This window comes from Homo sapiens, chromosome 1, assembly GCF_000001405.40.
Source record: "Homo sapiens chromosome 1, GRCh38.p14 Primary Assembly".
Taxonomy (NCBI): Eukaryota; Metazoa; Chordata; class Mammalia; order Primates; family Hominidae; genus Homo; species Homo sapiens.
In genome coordinates, this window is record NC_000001.11 from 33,621,425 (window position 1) to 33,637,516 (window position 16,092).

A 16,092-nucleotide genomic window follows, 5' to 3' on the forward strand; every position below is an offset into this window, starting at 1 on the left:
TGTCTACCTCTCTTTAGTGGACTTTGACTGACCCATCTTAATCTTTCCCAATCGTGGCAAAACCCAGCACAGTGCCTGGCATGTTGTAAATGCTCAATAAATATTTGCCGAATAAAAGTGTAAAAAATGCTGCTGCCTACCTATTCTTTCCTGTACCCAGTGGAGAAAGGGGGTAGGGCAGGCAGTCCCAGTATGCAAGCAGTTTCCCTAGAAACCTCTTTCTTTGTTCCCCAGAAGGCACATCCACAAATCTTTCTCTGTGAAGAGTATTTGGTAGTGACCACTTAGGGATGCCAGAAGCCAGGATATAAGGGTTTGAGCCTGCAGTGAGAAATCTGGTAGAAGATGAGTGAGGTAGCCAATGAAAGGAGGAACTTCAAAAATAATCGCATCATAGAACTAGGGGTTAGAAAGGCCAGGTTTTAGACCTGGGGGAGGAAAGCACAATTTTCTTACATCCCAATTATATACTGGGACCTTGGCCAATGCAAGTCCCCTTCCCATTCCTGGTGTGGATACTGAACAGGCATACAGGTTTTCGAGTAACAGACACTTGGACGAGAACACAGCCTTGAGGAGGTTTCAGACCTTCTCTGGGCTTTAGCATCTTCACCTAGGTTTGTGGGAAGGCTTAAGTGGGATGGACAATATGCAGCTCCAGTTTAATCCTTGCTCAGAAGGGGCTCAGCAACTTTTAGGTCCCACCCTGAACCCTGTACCAGCCAAGACCCTGGATTCTCACTTTTGTACTCCAAGTGGAAGCCAGCTGCAGATACGCTGATATCTGAGTAGAAATGAAGGTAGAGCTGGTTGGAGGTGCTGTTCAGAAGGGCAGGCACGGTTGTTCCTAGGGCAAGGACACCAGGGAAAACCATTTAAGTTTGGCTCCTCCAGGCCCTTGCATTCCTCCCCATTCCTCTGGATTTTGCTACCTGCTGACATTCTGCTCCCAAGGCCCCCAGATGTCCCCAGTTATGAAACTCACTAAATGACAAATTAGCACTCCTCAGAGGGCTAGGTCTCTACTGGCTGAGGGAGGGGAAACTCCAATCTGCTTCCTGTAAGATGAGCAGTGGCAGAGCCATGTGCCCGCAGGAGGGTGAGGGATGAGTTGGGTCTCCTCATAGCCATCTTCAGGATAACTCTGACCTGTATTATTCTCTGGGCAGTCCTGCAGTGTGGACAGTTTATCTGAAGCATGTGACTCCTCTTTATCTCTTGGCCACCTAGAGTTCTGGGCCTAAAAGATTCAGATAATTGCCCTGGCCACTGGGCACACCTATACACCACACTCAGTCAGAAGTCCATTACTAGAATGGCAAAATGGTGTTGCCACTTTGGAAAACAGGAAGTTCCTCCAAAAGTTAAACATAGAGTTCCCACATGACCCAGCAATTCCACTCCTAGGTATATACTCAAGAGAAGTGACAATGTGTGTTCACACCAAGACTTGTGCATGAGCATTATTCATAACAGCACAAAAGTGGAAACAAGCCATTGACTGATGAATGGACACACAAAATATGCTCTGTCCTTACAATGAAGTGCTGAACCATACTGTGACTGGGGGAACTTTGAAAACATCACGTTAAGTGAAAGAAGCCAAACACAGAAGGCTTCCATTTATATGAAATGCCTGGAATAGGCAAATCCAGAGAGATAGAAAGTAGATTACTGGTTACTAGAGGCTAGGTGTGGGCTGGGGAGGGGAGTGCAAATGGGTACCTGGTTTATTTTGGGGTGGTCAAAATGTTCTGGGATTAGATAGTAGTGATGGTTGCAGGACCTTTCGAATCTCCTGAAAACCACTGATGTGTCCACTTGAAAATGGTGAATTTCATGGAATATAAGTGATATCTCAATAATAATAATGATAATAACAATGTTCATGATGATGAGCTCTAGTACTACCCTCCAAATTGAAGCCCCTGGAAACCCAGCTTACCTGAGAAACTCCCCAGCATGGTTACAGTGTTATCTGCACCATCAAATACTTCCAGCGAGTCCCAGTTCTGCTCTGTCACAAAACTGACAACTTGGATCTGGGAAGGGAGAAGAGTGAATTGTTGGTTAGGCAGCCTGCGTCCCTCCCTCCTTCTCTGCTTTCCCTTTCTGCCCTTCCCGTAGTTAATTCAATTTGTTGAGAATCTACTCTGGGCCTAACACTGTGCTAGTCCCTTTCAATAAAAGTAAGATGCAGAACCGACTCCAAGGAGCTCGTTGTCCAGTGGGGAAGACAGATGTGGAAAAAAATGATTAGAAGACAGTGGATATTTTGCAAGGCAGAGAATGGGGAAAAGAAGTTCCAGGAAGTGGAAAGACAGTCTCACTGACTGTCTCCTCATCTCTGGAATGTTCCTTGGGTTTCCCCACTTTCCTGCCTTGATTTCATCAGACGTCCTGCAGCAATGAGCCCGTAACCCACTCCTGCCCAGATCTGTCTGCTGGACTCCCAGTTTGCTGCCTCTCTGTTGGCCTTGCAGGCTCCTGACCCTCTTCCCTGCCTTGACGCCAATGCTGGGGCCTCCCTCTGCCTGGCTCTTACCCCTGGGTACCAGTTATGCCCCCAGTTCAGCTTCTACAGCTCATGCTGTGCGTGGTTCCCTAGGTGTGTGCCTGGGGGTTCTCTGTGCTTCAGCTGTGCTGGGTGCTTTGCTCTTTCTTCTCATTAGCACTGCCTCCCCTTCTAACCCTCACAATCTTAAGAAAATCTTTAGCCATTTGAGGAACAACTTCTATGAATCCTTCCCACACTTCAGATTCCAGCTCCAGGCCCATTTCTTCTTTTAGCCTCCCCTCCTGGCCATGGCCAATCAATGCCCACCTCTCCTCCTTCCTGGGTTACCCGACTCCCACCGCATGTCCCTGAAGCTCTTGGGGCCTGGAACCTGCTGTGTTTTCTGCATGGGAGCCACATCTCCACACTTGGACTGAGCCTCCTTAGCCGCAGGGGCAGGTACAGGGCTGATATGTCTCTTCCTGGCTCACCCTGACTCAGGCCTTGGCACCAGCCAGCACCTGTGGTTGTCACCTGTGAGCTGTTACCTGGGAGCAGACGGCCACCTGCCCGACCGAGGCGCCCCCTTGCCCCTACCTGGATGCCAGCGCCTTCGGGGACCACGATCTTCCACACACAGTTGAGGCTGTTGAGGTACGGCTCTGGGAAGCCAGGGGACAGGATGGTGCCCCTGCGCTCTGTGAGGTTGCCTCCACACGGCACTGGGAGGAGAGGCCATCGGGTCAGAGGCTTTGTGGCCTCCCGTGGGAGCCTTCCCAAGCTGACTCCTCCCTCATGGCCCCCAGCCTCTGTTTGTCCTCCTCCCCATGGGGGTGTCTCCCTAATGTCCCCAGTCCTGCCTTCTCCACGGCCTCTCCCCATGCAACTCTGTTCGGGGCCCTGGGCCCAGCTCCTCTCTCCACGTGTGCCCCGTCCCCAGTACACCGGCTGTCTTCACACAGCCCACAGCGCCGGGGACTGGGGTTGACTGGGACACCCCACCTCAGCCATGCGGTGGGAAGCGGCTGCTGTGTGTCGTGGGGCATCACTGGGGCTGACTGCCTCCCCTACAGAGAAAGGACTACGTGCCGCCCCCCGCACCCTCAACGCCCGGGTCCTGGTTACTCACCCACACACGTGGGCGCTGAGACATTCCATTGGGCCAAGGCCCCAGGCACAGGGAGGCACTCGATCTCTGGCGACCCCTGCAGGGCATAGCCGGAGTTGCATTCGAAGCGGACGATGGCCCCCACCGAGAAGTCACTGCCCAGCCTCTTGCCATAGCGGGGTTCCGGCACAGAGCTGCACTGCGTGGCGCTGGTTCGAGGAACCGCTGTGGGGGACAAGGGCACTGAGGGGAGGCCTCACCCCTCAGAAACTGGCCCAGGGACGGACATACAACGGGTCTGGAACAAAGACCGTCTGGATGAAACCCTGGGAGGCTCTGGATGCTCTCCCGTAGGGAAGGGCTCGAGGGCTAACTAGGAGGATGCCTGTTATACCGAATTATAGTTGGACACACAGCGCTACAGCACAGCTCCTGGAAAGCACGGGAGGTAGAGCCGTGGACCTCCCACAGACCTTAGGCCCAGTTTTGTTCTTTGCTTTCCCAACGACGCCCCTCACTCATCAGGGTCCCACGTTCCCTAGCAAGGAGAATGGGCCTTCCTCCTCTACCTTCAGGGCCTTTGCCCTGCCTCTGTCCTGTTTTCCCCATGTGCCTTAAGATCCTGCCTGGGGCCCTGCCCTCCATGACCCCCAGTCTCCCCTCCCTCCTGCCGCCCAGAATGGCTGATGGGCCCGGGATGGCCTCCCCTGTGATAGGATCACTCCTGCAAAGAGAAACACAGCTCATCCTGGGCAGAGTCGAATGAACAGGACCATGCTTAGAACCTGGGCCCTACAAAAGTGGATGTTCTCCTGGGCAAGCAGAGGTTGGGACCTGGGGGTGAAAACCAGGATGCTCCAAACTACCTTTCTGGGCCAATAAGGAAGGGAACTAACACCAACTGGCTGGTTGGTACCAGCTACTTCCCGAAGCCTCTTTGCATCCTATCAGTGAGGCATTGTGATTGCCCGCTCCTTACAGGTGAGCAAACAGGCTCTGAGGCCTGGCGTAGCTGGAGCCTAGCTCGAAGGTGGGGAGGTGGGATTCAAATCGATGTCCACGGCACTTCAAAGCCTGTGTTTTCCCCGCACCTTTACTGTGCCTGGCAGACAAAACCAAGCTCCAGGGGAGTCCAGGTAAGATGCCTGGGCTGGTCTCTTCAGTGCCATCTGGACCATGCCAGACAATGGGTGGAGTGGGGAAGGGGAAAAAACTGGCTGCCTTTGTCTGATTTCCTTCCTCATTAAACACAGAACTTGTCTAAGAAATGTCTGCTGAGTAAGTGAATGCATAAAATTAACTGGATTTCAGGGAATTGCCCTACAAACTAGTAACTGCCCCCAAACACCCTGAGAAAGGGACTCAGACTAGAGGTCAAAGATCCCTGTCCCTTCGATCACGAGTCCCTTAAGAACCGAGATCACCTTCCTACCTCCGGCGTCCATGTCCTCCATACCTTGGTAGACAAAGTGGAAGCCTCTGGCTGGTGCGAGGCCTTTGGCGCTGAACTTAATGAGAACTTGATTGGAGGTGGCCAAGGGCAGTGATTCTCCTGCCGAGATAAGGGGCAAGGAGGAGAGAACAGTGAGTCCAGCAGGTGGGCCCAGAAGATAAAATCCTGGCCAGGAAGGAGGGGCTGCCAGTACCCCATGCAGCAATTCCTTCCACATTCCAGGCCTTCCTGAAATAAAATCTCACGTATTTTTACTGCACTTTACAATTTAAAGTTTATAGAAAGCTTTTTCATTCACGGTCTTAACTTGACCTGTGGTCACTGTGAGGTTGGCATGACAGAGTTCAGTACCCTCATTTAATAAAGAAGGAAAGAGAGGTCCAGAAAGATTAAATGACCTGTGCCGGAAAGGAGAAGGCTGCTAGGGATGTGTGGAGCGACAGGGATGGAGACAGCAGCTGTTACCAAGCCGGCTGACTGGTGGTTTACTTGGAAAACTGACATCAATCTGAGTTTTTAAAAATAGCATTGGCCTCTAGGAAGGAGGATGATGTGATCATCTAGGAGCAACTGGTCTTTCCCAGACACTCTCCCACCATCCTGTGAAATGATTACCAGAGCGATGGTGTAATGTATTGTTCATACTAGAACATTTTTGAGAGTCAAAGAAAGTGCTATCAATAGTTATGGTGGGACTGTCCCAGGCAAACCAGGATGTACTATTGCCGGCCAATAACACACAAACTGGGGGGAACCTGCATGGGCACAGGAAACCAGGGTAGACTGACAGCTTTTGTAGCAGAAGACAAAGGTATATCTTCTGCTTGGTGCAGTACAGATGGGCCAGGGGAGAGACAGCACCAACTGGACCTGCAGCCAATTAGTGTAGTTGCCATTCTGGGGAAGCGCAGGGAGAACATGGGTGGAGGCAGCAGCATGGCCACTCTGCCTGCTGCCCCCCTGCAGCCTCAGGGACCCCTGAGAAGCGCTGCTGACCCCAGACCCCATTCTCAGGACGAAGCAGGGATTACAGAGAACCAGGCTCTATCTCCACTACAGTGAGGGCTAGAGTTGGGACCCACAACGGAACTACTGGGAGGTCCACCTGTACTTCCAGGAAGCTCATGTGATGCCACCAATATGGGAGCAGAGAGCTTTTGCAAGGCAGGCTTAGATGTGTATGTGACCCAGAAGGCTGAGCCTGGCTAGGAGTCATTGTCCCAGCTAACAGTTATTGCCCCCAGCTAACATGTAGCTGCCAAAGCAGAAAGAAACTCATGAAGGCAAAGCATCCCTTTGATATCACTGCCATCTCCAACTCCTCCTCCAGATGGATGTGAGCAGAGTGAAACTCAACTTTTCTATTTGGCCTGACAGATGTGGATAACGACCCTAGTGAGCTCTCACAGAACCCATGTCAACTGCAGCCCTGAAGGCACACGGGCCTCCATCTTCAAGGGAGAGCAAATAGTAAAATCACTGGACATAAGAAAAAATGTTAAAGTTTTGAGGAAGGAGATCACTCTAAGAAGTCAAAGCAAATACTTTATGTGAACCACAACAAAGAACAGGCAAAACTCTCAGCAGATGTTCAGTCATGGTTGTCATGAGATTAAATCTAGCATTGCATCTGTGAAGTCAGAGGAAGAAGGATCTGAGATCAATAAAGGCTGCAAAGAGATGAGAAATGCTAGTGCAAGCAGCTGGATTCCACAAAAACTGAACAGTGAAGTCGAGATGAAATTTGGGAAATTCTCTCAGAATCCACAGAAAAAGGATAAAGAGATTAAAATAACGAGAGAAATGACAAGTGACGTGAAAGATGAAAAAAAAATCCATATGCATGTATCAGGAATTTCAGAAAGAGAAGACAGAGAAATTGAAGGAGAAAAAAAATCATTTAAGGCAGGGTGAAGTAGCTCACATCTGTGATCCCAACACTTTGGGAGGCTGAGGCGGGCGGATCACCTGAGGTCAGGAGTTTGTGACCAGCCTGACCAACATGGTGAAAATCCATCTCTACTAAACATACAAAAATTAGCCGGGTATGGTGGAGCACACCTGGAGTCTCAGCTACTCGGAAGGCTGAGGCAGGAGAATCTCTTGAGCCTGGGAGGCAGAGGTTGCAGTGAGCTGAGATTGCACCACTACACTCCAGCCTGGGTGACAGAGTGAGACTCTGTCTCAAAAAAAAAAAAAAAAAAAATCATTTAAGAAAGAAGACACTTTTCCTAAGATGTGAGGTACAGATTGAAATATTTGCCAAGTGCAAGGTAGAATTAGTGAGAAGAGACCTCCACCACAACACCTCCCAGTGGGCTTTTTAATTAACAACAACAAAAAAAGAAAATCACATAGACAGAAAAGCACAGGTTACTTACAAGGACAAAGAATCACGTTGGACCCCAATTTGTCTGTAACAGTAAATGTTGGAATAGAGTGGAATAATTACTGCAGTTTTGAAAGATAAAGTTTGACCCGTAATTTGATTTACAATCAAGGTGTCATTTATATCCCATGTCAAAAGGAAAGCATTCTCATATATGCATGGTACAGAAAGTACTGCAGTTATAAGCCCTACTGAAAAAAAAAAAAACAAAACCCAAAACTAAAGTAGGGAATTCAGACACCAGCAGGGATAAATACAACCAGAAAAGTATAATAACTATTGTCAATGAGCTAACAAAACAAAATGCAAATGCAAATTCAAAAATTTGCTCTTGGGGAAGAAGTCCACAATTTAAAAAATAACTACTATAACATTAATATAAAAGTCCAAATATATCAAGAAAAACTTGAAAATTAGAGATGGGTCAGGTATGTATGGAAAAGCGAGGAAGCAAAATCAAAACAACACAAACAAAAGCGCAGAAAGAACAACACAAGATGACAGATATCAGACCAAATAATTCACTTGTAAAATAAATGAGTCAACTTCCTCTTAAAAGAGAAAGACTTGGAGAAAATGAGAGAAGATATGTCAGGAAAACAGATGCAAAAATTGCTAGATATACAAGAAGACAACAAAATATCATAACTGTAATGGGAAATACTTTCATGCAACATTCACAATCATTGATACATCAAATAGAAAAACAAAATGAAGACTGTTGAGTAGCGGTCCTTAAGCTTTTTCTCCCCCAACGCAACTCAGGGACAGGGACATAGTGCACTCCCATCAGTACCAATGGCTTGTTATCAGTGTTTCTCCAAATGAGGAATAAGGGACTCTCTGAATATACTGATATTGATATCTACAGGTTTTTTTTTTTTCTTTTGAGACGGAGTCTCTCTCTGTCGCCCAGGCTGGAGTGCAATGGCGCGATCTTGGCTTACTGCTACCTCCACCTCCCGGGTTCAAGTGATTCTCCTGCCTCAGCCTCCCGAGTGGCTGGGATTACAGGCACCCACGACCATGCCCAGTGAATTTTTGTATTTTTAGTAGAGATGGGGTTTCACTGTAATCCCAGCACTTTGGGAGGCTGAGGCAGGTAGATCACTTGAGGTCAGGAGTTTTATATCTACAGGTCTTATACATCTTTCTCTCTTTCTCTCTCACTCTCTCATCTTCCTCCCCCATCTTCTTCCTTCCTTCCTTCCTTCCTTCCTTGCTTCCTTCCTTCCTTACTTCCTGTTTCTATTGGTCCTATACACCTATATCTACATCCATATTTACATCTATAGGTCTTAAATGTAGACCTCTCTATAGCTCTTTACTTGAAAATCCTTACTATAACTCTAAATCTATAGCTATACATTATCTATCTATCTGTTTTGAAAAGGCATCCTACTCCAGGAGTTCCTGATTTACACTCTTGGTTGGGTGTGTATGTGTGAGGTGGTGGTTACAAAAAATTCATTTGGTTGAGAATCACTGATACAATAGATCTGAATAACAAAATTGAGTAAGATTGATTTAATGGCAATTACAAAACTCATTTACTCCTAACACTAACTTTAGGAGGTAGGACTCTTTTTCTTTGCATTTTACAGAGGAGAAAACTGAAGCTCAGAGAGGTCAAGTATTGTGCCTTAAGTCACCTAGAAAACAAATAGGAGAGCTAAGAAAAGAGTGTGATTGTAGAGCCTGAGCTCATTCGTCTTGCTTCTCTACCTTACAGAGAACACACATCCTTCTTAAATATTTAGAAAACTAAAAAAAAAGGTCCTTGGCTACTGAAGGGACTTCAATTAATCCCCAAAGAAGAAATGGTACAGGCCACATTCTTTCACTACATGGAAATAAAAATATAAATTAACACAAAAGTTTAATGCAATAAGAACAAAATCCATATTCTTAGGGGAAAAGAAAAGACATTCTTAGCCAACACTTGGGCAAAAAGAGTAAACAACACCATGATGAGCTATTTAAAAAGTAATGATGATGAACATAGTACATATCAAAATTTATGGCATGAAGCCAAAACTATGCTTGGAGGTGAATACATCGCTGTAAACATGTTCTTTATTACACAGAGAAAATAATGAACAGAGCTCTCAATTCAAGATGTTAGAACAAGAACAAAATAATCAGAAGAAAAATATGAGGAAGGAAATGATGAAATAAAGGCAGAGATTAATAAAAAAAAGCAACAACAAACTGCAGAATAATTGATAAATTGCAGCAATAAAAATTAAAAAAAACCCACAAAAACACAAAACACCTGGTACAGCCGAGTAAAAAGGGGATGATGAATGCACGATGCAGGATAACAAAGGCAGGAATATCACCACTAATACAAAGCAGGGTAAACATCACCATAGTACATTATATACATTGTGGTACTAAATGTAAATGAAATTATGAAATGGATTTTTTACTAAAAGCTAAAATATCAACATTGATATTAGAGTAATATACCTGAATAGACCAATAACCATGGAAGAAAATAAAAGAAAAGCCACTGAAAAGGAGGAGATAAAATAATGAGACAAATTTATTTGCAGATGATATTACTTCTTGCCTAGAGGAGCCAGGAGAATTAGTTGGCAGTGTAAGCAGTATTATGAAGAGTCTGATGACTTTACAAAGCAAATATGCCAAAAACAACAGTCTTTGAATATACTAGTAAAGACCAGCTAGAAAACATAATGGGGGAAAAAAGACCCATTTACAACAGCAACAAAAATCTCCATGAAATATCTGGGAATAAAGTTAACAAACAATGAATACTGCCTAAATAAAAATTATAGCACCCTCCCAAGGGCTACAGAAGATAAACAAATGGAGAGACATATTGTATTCCTGGATGGGAAGAAGAGTTAATATAAACGTGAGTTCACCCTAATTTAACGTGTAAGTTTTATTAAATCCCAGTCAAGATTCTGATGCAATGTTTTAAACTTAACAAAATATTTCTAAATATAATTTGGAGGCAAAAGTAAGCAACAACAGCCAATAAAAATTCAAAACAAAGAATGGCTCTGGGGACTTATAGTACCATGTATTTAAAATTATTATATAGTAAACACTATTATAGTGTTATAATAATTAAAACTAAAAAAGGAATAAATAGACACTTGGAAGAAATGGATAAAAAGTCTAAGAACAGACCCTTCATAAAAATTTAGTATATGTAAATTTGGCATTTTGAAAATTCTGCTAGGACAACTGATTAACTATATTTGAAAGAATATGGTTAGATTCCCTATATCAAATAATAAATCAAAATAAATTCCAAAGGTATTAAAGCAGTGTGATGAAACTAAGAAGTGAAAGAAAACACAGAGGAATATTTATTTGACCAGCATAAAAGCAAAGGAGAAAACTATATAAGAAAACATTGATAGATTTGATAGCATGGGAAATTTACATATTCTGACATTAAAGCACCCTGAAGAAAATTATATAGCAAAAGACAAGCTGGAGAGGAGGGCTTTTTATAGCATATTATATATATTTATGTAGCTTATAAAATATGGAGCTCTACTCAATAAATAAGAAAATAAGTGCTTGTAGAAAAATCGACACAAATTCACAATAAATTCACAAATAAAAAATGCACAGGCCAATAAACACATTATAAAAATTTAACCTAACTAGTAATAAAACAAGGCAAATTAGAAAATGAGATACCATTTTCACTTTTCAAACTGATGACGCTTTTGTTTTTTTAATTACCTGGTTTTTGTGAGAATAAAACATGCCCTCTTTCTTGTTGGTGATCAAACTGACAAGATCTTTCTAGAGGGATATTTGATAATCTGCATAAAAAGCCTTAAAGATCTCACATATCCTTTAACTTGACAATTCCACTTCTAGATATTCTAAAGTAACAGAAATGTATATAAAGATGTATGTACAATACATTGCATTACTATTCATAAGCACAAAACATTACAATCTAAATGTTCAATAATAGGGAATTCGTTACATAAATTTTAACTAACTGTATGAGAGACTACTATGTAGCACTTAAAAATCCTAGCCTAGAAGAAAAAAAATGACAGAGAAAAGCTCGTAGCGAATATTTCAATAAAATATGTATATTGGTTTGTTGAATAAAATATGTAAACGTCGAAGTAGATACAAAGACTGGAAGGAAATCCACTACATCTTGTCAGTGGCTCTTTCGGGGTAGTCTTTATTTTGATTCTGTATGCAATTATTTTGTTTTGTCACTAAGTTTTCTATAATGAAAATGCAATACATTTATAGTAAGAAAAAAAGTTGCATCTGAATACGAACCAACAGGAGAAGGCTACACCACAAGGGGGCGGTGTAGACACAGTCTGGGTGAGGGCAGCTGCTGAAGGCCCCGCTAGTTGGAGCTCTCACGAGCTGGCTGCTGCGTTGTAGACAAGCACCAGAACACGACAGGCACGCAGAGCCGTAGGGTTCCACCTGCGGCCATGGGGTGCTTCTAGAGCCTCCTTCCTTTAGCCGGACGTGATGCCCCCGGCCCACAACCATCCCCACACTGGCCGAGCCCCGGATACCTGTATGGGAGCCCGAGAGGGAGCTGAGGAGCCGCGAGTGCTGGCTGTGGCCGTCGTGAACCTCCACCACGTCGTTGAGGGCCGTGTGAAAGAAGGCGAACTGGCCAAACACCACTGTGGAGGAGACACAGTGTGGGGACTGGGCAGGCACGCTGGGGGCAGGAGAGGGGATCTAGGGGTCTAGGGGCCCAAGCCAGGAGGAGGGCAGCCCTGGGGAAGTTGTTGGTTCCTGGGCTGTGGCTTGCTGCACTGGTTAGTGCAGTGGCACAGTCTGGCAGTGGCCAGACACCCGGCACAGGGAGGCGGGGAGCTGGGAAGGCCGGGCTGGCCTTCACAAGGGTCAAGACAACATGGAGGGCTGCACCCAAAGGTCAGGCGGGTAGAGGCGAAATGGAGCCAACTTTGTTCCTTTCCCAGATAGCAGCTGCAGCAGCTATCTGGAGGCCATCAGAGGGCTTTGGGTACCATCCCTCATTCTCCATGCGATGTCAGGACCCCACATTCATGCGTCCCAACGTCAGTTAGTCAGTGTCATTGAGTTGAAAACTGTATACAGAGATCTGTAGTCAGTGCTGTGAGCTCCTTATCACTGGAGGGATCCAGGCACAAACTGCATGCCCACCTACCAAGGATTCTGCTCTGGGTAGCAGATCAGATTGGACAGCCTTTCAGGACTTTTCTAACTGCGATCCTGCAGGTCTGAGGCCCCTGCCACCTCAGTATATTGGGGAGTGTGTGTACATGTACATAGGTGTCCTGGTTCTGGGGCAGGAGTGGGTGTACTGATGGCTGGAGCTATGGGTAGAGATGAGACTGGGAATTTATAGAGGACAGAGAACATGTCTCTCTCATCTCTGCAACTCCAGGACCCAGTAAAGTGCGTGGCCCCCAATGGGTGCTTACTAAATGTTTGGCGAACGCCTCAAGCATCAGGCCTTGCTCTGTGCTTGCCCATCCTGTCTTGGGGAATAAGGAGCTGGCTCTCTGCAGGCTGCTCCCTCCGTCCTGCTCCTCCCCTGGGTGGTCGGGACATGTTGATGTCCTTTGCCACATCCAACATCAATTGTGTTTAGATATGGTTGTTAGTCCTCCTACAAAGAGGAGATCCAGGAAGAAAGAAGCCAGCCTGGTCACCTGGTTGCCCTTCATCTTCCTGAATGCCTCCAAGGCTGGCAGGACTCTTGAATGTCCCCACTGCCAACCAGGTAATGAGCCTGGGTTGGTTTTTCTGCCCACATCTCTTGGAATCTGGAAGTTTCTCTGTCTTCCCAGGGCACTGGTCTGCTTTTCACTTTTTTCTTGCTTGTCCTACCTATAGCTTCTGGACCAGGCTTTGGTTCTCAGATGGGACACCAGAATGATGTGGCTCCTGGTCTCCCTCACCTGCACTTTCAAGCCCAGCTCCATCCCATTCCTCTCCTCCCTCCTGCTCCTTGGCCACTCACCCTGGGTTCCTAACAGGTCTAGATCTGCGGCACCTCCCTTAGGACTTGGGCCATACTGGGTAGTCCCCTGGGGCACCTTGCCTTCCCTCTGTCTTGGCCAGTTTCTCACCAACTCTGTCCCCTTGGTTCTGGCGGGGCTCACTTGTGCCCTTCTGCCCTCTTGTGTCCGGAATGTATTCTGCAGCCCGTTTGAGAAACGTCAGCACTCGGCCGTCCTTTTGGGGAGACTGTTCTGCGATTCCCACAATGGGGCTGTATATAATTGGGAGGCGTCTGAGGAATTGCTCATTTTGGAATGAGGGTGAGGAGTCAGAAAACATATGAACAACAACAACCAAAACCCATACCATAGTCCTTGGGCACAGTAACAAAATACAAGCAGATCTGTCCACTGGTGTAGTTCTGGGGGTAGTTGGGGGACAAGACCACTCCGTCCGAACCCACATACTGTCCCCCACAGGGGGCTGAAAGAGAAACCAGATAGAGAGTCAGGTGACCTTGTGGGCCTCTTACCAGTGACCATCCTCTGTTCTGCCCCAGCCTGAGCTTCTGGCCCCAGTAGGGCTGCCCTGAGGTGGGCAGGCCCTAGCTTGGAGAAGGCAAGTCCTGCGGACCCTGCCCTGCCCAAGAACGTGCACCCCTGGCCTGGCATGTAGCCTGAAACTTGCCCTGAAGCTACCGAGGGCCCTCTTGGGCAGGTGTCAGTTCTTGCCCTCTACCTATTAACCCTGGCATTGGTCCCTGAAGTCACAGCCTTAGGGAGCACATTAGGAACCTCTTCTGCTTACACGTGGAGCCTAGAAATGATCTGCTGCCCTGGCTGACATCTAACCTGGACAGTGAGTGTCAGTGTGAATAGGGAGCTGAAGCTTCCCCGGACTAACCCCATGGGGAGTGGCCAGCCCATGTGACCCAGCCACCTTCTGTTCCTCTCCAAGGTGCCCAATTTCCACAAGGGGCGGGTCTGAGCCTGCCTCTCTTACCATGACAAAGGGGGTATGCTTGGCTTTTCAATGGGTGGTCACCAAGCTCTTAAAGCCCTGATACTCATTCCTATCTCTCTTGTCAGGACCCCCATGGCTCACCCAGACCCACCTGGAATCAGCACACCCTGCGGGCCTTACTTCAACATATCTGATCTCTCAGTGATTTTCCCTAGGCCTAGGAACTAGTCCAGGAGCCACCTTTAAATGACTTCTCCCTGGTGTGAGCTCCCTGATGTGGCATGTCTGGGGGCCTCTGTTGAGGGCATGAGCATCTATGTGAATGGGGGTAGGGACACCATGGGTTCTGAGATGATACCTTGAAAGGAACTGCACACCTAGTGAATTATAAGCCACTTCTATACACATCCACGGCAAACCCAGGTTTGCCAGGCTTGGAGGAGCCGGGCTTGAGGACCTTGCCCCCCTCCCTTCCCCAGCCCACAGCACCCTCTGCCCCTGGCATGCCCTCAGTTCCTCAGACCCCTGCCATCCCCAGGCTTCCACCACCTGTGCAGACTGGCCGGGGATTGTTCCACACGGGCTTCCCATCAGGCCCCAGGATGCAGCTCAGGGTCGAGGTGCCCTCAACTTCGTAGCCCCCGTGGCAGTAGTAGGTGACGGAGGAGCCCAGCTTCAGGTCGGACCCCACCCGTGTGCCGTTCTTGATGGAACCAGGATCAAAACATGACTCCCGCGGGTTTTCTGGGAAAAAGAAATACAAACACGTGCACACACACAGAGGGCTCATGAGGAGGCTATTCTTGGGCTCCAGTGCCCATGAGGAGAACCCGACTTTAATTAGCCACAGAGCACACGGGGATGCGTGACTGTGGCTCCTATTCCCCTCAGGTCTAGAAACGTCTCTAAATTTGGGTAGAAATTGAAGGATGGAAATCACATTGAAGAGGGCAATTTCCCCTCCTCCCCCCATGTTCTTGCCTTGACCCACAGAGGAAGGAGGCCCAGCAAAATCGCTGAGGCCCTCTCTCATCCCCTGCTTGCTCCTCCCCAAGGGAAACATGTGTTTCTCTGGCTGGTGGGGGCTGACAGTCCCTGGACCACATCTCAGCTGCCGGCAGGGTCACTGTGGTAAAGGTCAGTGCTTAGGTACAGCCCATCACTTTACTCATCTTTGACCCCCCACACTCAGCAGCCTCCTGGCCTTTTGTGTTCACCTGAGAAGCAGGGCAGACAGTCTGCTTTTGGAGATGCTCTTTCTCTTCCTCTCTCTTCTGCCCCATCTGTACCACTGGCTGGGGAGTAGAGCTGGCATCTGTTCTGCAGGCCCAGTCATACCCATCTGTTGCAGGTTCTTCTGAGTGCATGGGTACCAATACTTAGATTCAGGGAGGAAGTACAAAACTCACTTCCACCTCTGGGTTGGGTTACCCGACCGGTGGGATAAGTTGATGTCTCCAGTGCAGTTTTCCAGGGCTCTGCACTGGGTATTGGGTGCTTGCCAGTTTATGAAAACCACAGTATTTTTTTCATGTGGCTATTGACCCTTACATGTCTTCCCTATCAGTCATACAGTTTATGAATAAACAGTCCTCTACTCTGTCGCTCTGCATCAAACAAGACCACTCTTGACATTGCCTGTGGCTTGAGAGTACTAGTCCAAGTCCCAAATCTCTGGAGTAGGACACTCTCCAGCATCCCTCACC

At 47.2% G+C, this 16,092-nt stretch overlaps 1 protein-coding gene across 12 annotated transcripts in view, besides 4 other annotated features; it reads right to left on the bottom strand.

Annotated features, from left to right (window-relative positions):
- The window catches only part of CSMD2 (CUB and Sushi multiple domains 2), a 651,845-nt gene that overhangs the window by 107,427 nt on the left and 528,326 nt on the right, over window positions 1-16,092 (bottom strand). For all 12 annotated transcript variants that reach the window (XM_047443685.1, XM_047443656.1, NM_052896.5 and 9 more), the window contains 8 exons: window positions 14,936-15,130; window positions 13,790-13,906; window positions 11,998-12,111; window positions 5,062-5,157; window positions 3,627-3,830; window positions 3,095-3,219; window positions 1,946-2,042; window positions 743-847 (listed from right to left, as the gene is read on the bottom strand). In XM_047443685.1, the coding sequence (XP_047299641.1) occupies window positions 743-847; window positions 1,946-2,042; window positions 3,095-3,219; window positions 3,627-3,830; window positions 5,062-5,157; window positions 11,998-12,111; window positions 13,790-13,906; window positions 14,936-15,130 (1,053 nt within the window). The remainder of the gene's footprint in view (window positions 1-742; window positions 848-1,945; window positions 2,043-3,094; window positions 3,220-3,626; window positions 3,831-5,061; window positions 5,158-11,997; window positions 12,112-13,789; window positions 13,907-14,935; window positions 15,131-16,092) is intronic.
- Window positions 12,111-12,617: an enhancer, noted in NCBI's record as "H3K4me1 hESC enhancer chr1:34099135-34099641 (GRCh37/hg19 assembly coordinates)". NCBI's record gives its function as "activates a minimal SCP1, AML or CMV promoter by ChIP-STARR-seq in primed H9 embryonic stem cells {active_cell/tissue: H9 hESC(primed)}" and the evidence as "EXISTENCE:reporter gene assay evidence [ECO:0000049][PMID:30033119]".
- Window positions 13,585-14,516: an enhancer, noted in NCBI's record as "OCT4-NANOG-H3K4me1 hESC enhancer chr1:34100609-34101540 (GRCh37/hg19 assembly coordinates)". NCBI's record gives its function as "activates a minimal SCP1, AML or CMV promoter by ChIP-STARR-seq in naive H9 embryonic stem cells {active_cell/tissue: H9 hESC(naive)}" and the evidence as "EXISTENCE:reporter gene assay evidence [ECO:0000049][PMID:30033119]".
- Window positions 14,517-15,447: an enhancer, noted in NCBI's record as "OCT4-NANOG-H3K4me1 hESC enhancer chr1:34101541-34102471 (GRCh37/hg19 assembly coordinates)". NCBI's record gives its function as "activates a minimal SCP1, AML or CMV promoter by ChIP-STARR-seq in naive H9 embryonic stem cells {active_cell/tissue: H9 hESC(naive)}" and the evidence as "EXISTENCE:reporter gene assay evidence [ECO:0000049][PMID:30033119]".
- Window positions 15,410-15,580: a silencer, noted in NCBI's record as "fragment chr1:34102434-34102604 (GRCh37/hg19 assembly coordinates)". NCBI's record gives its function as "represses an EF-1alpha promoter that drives an FKBP-Casp9 reporter gene in an ReSE screen in HepG2 liver carcinoma cells {active_cell/tissue: HepG2}" and the evidence as "EXISTENCE:reporter gene assay evidence [ECO:0000049][PMID:32094911]".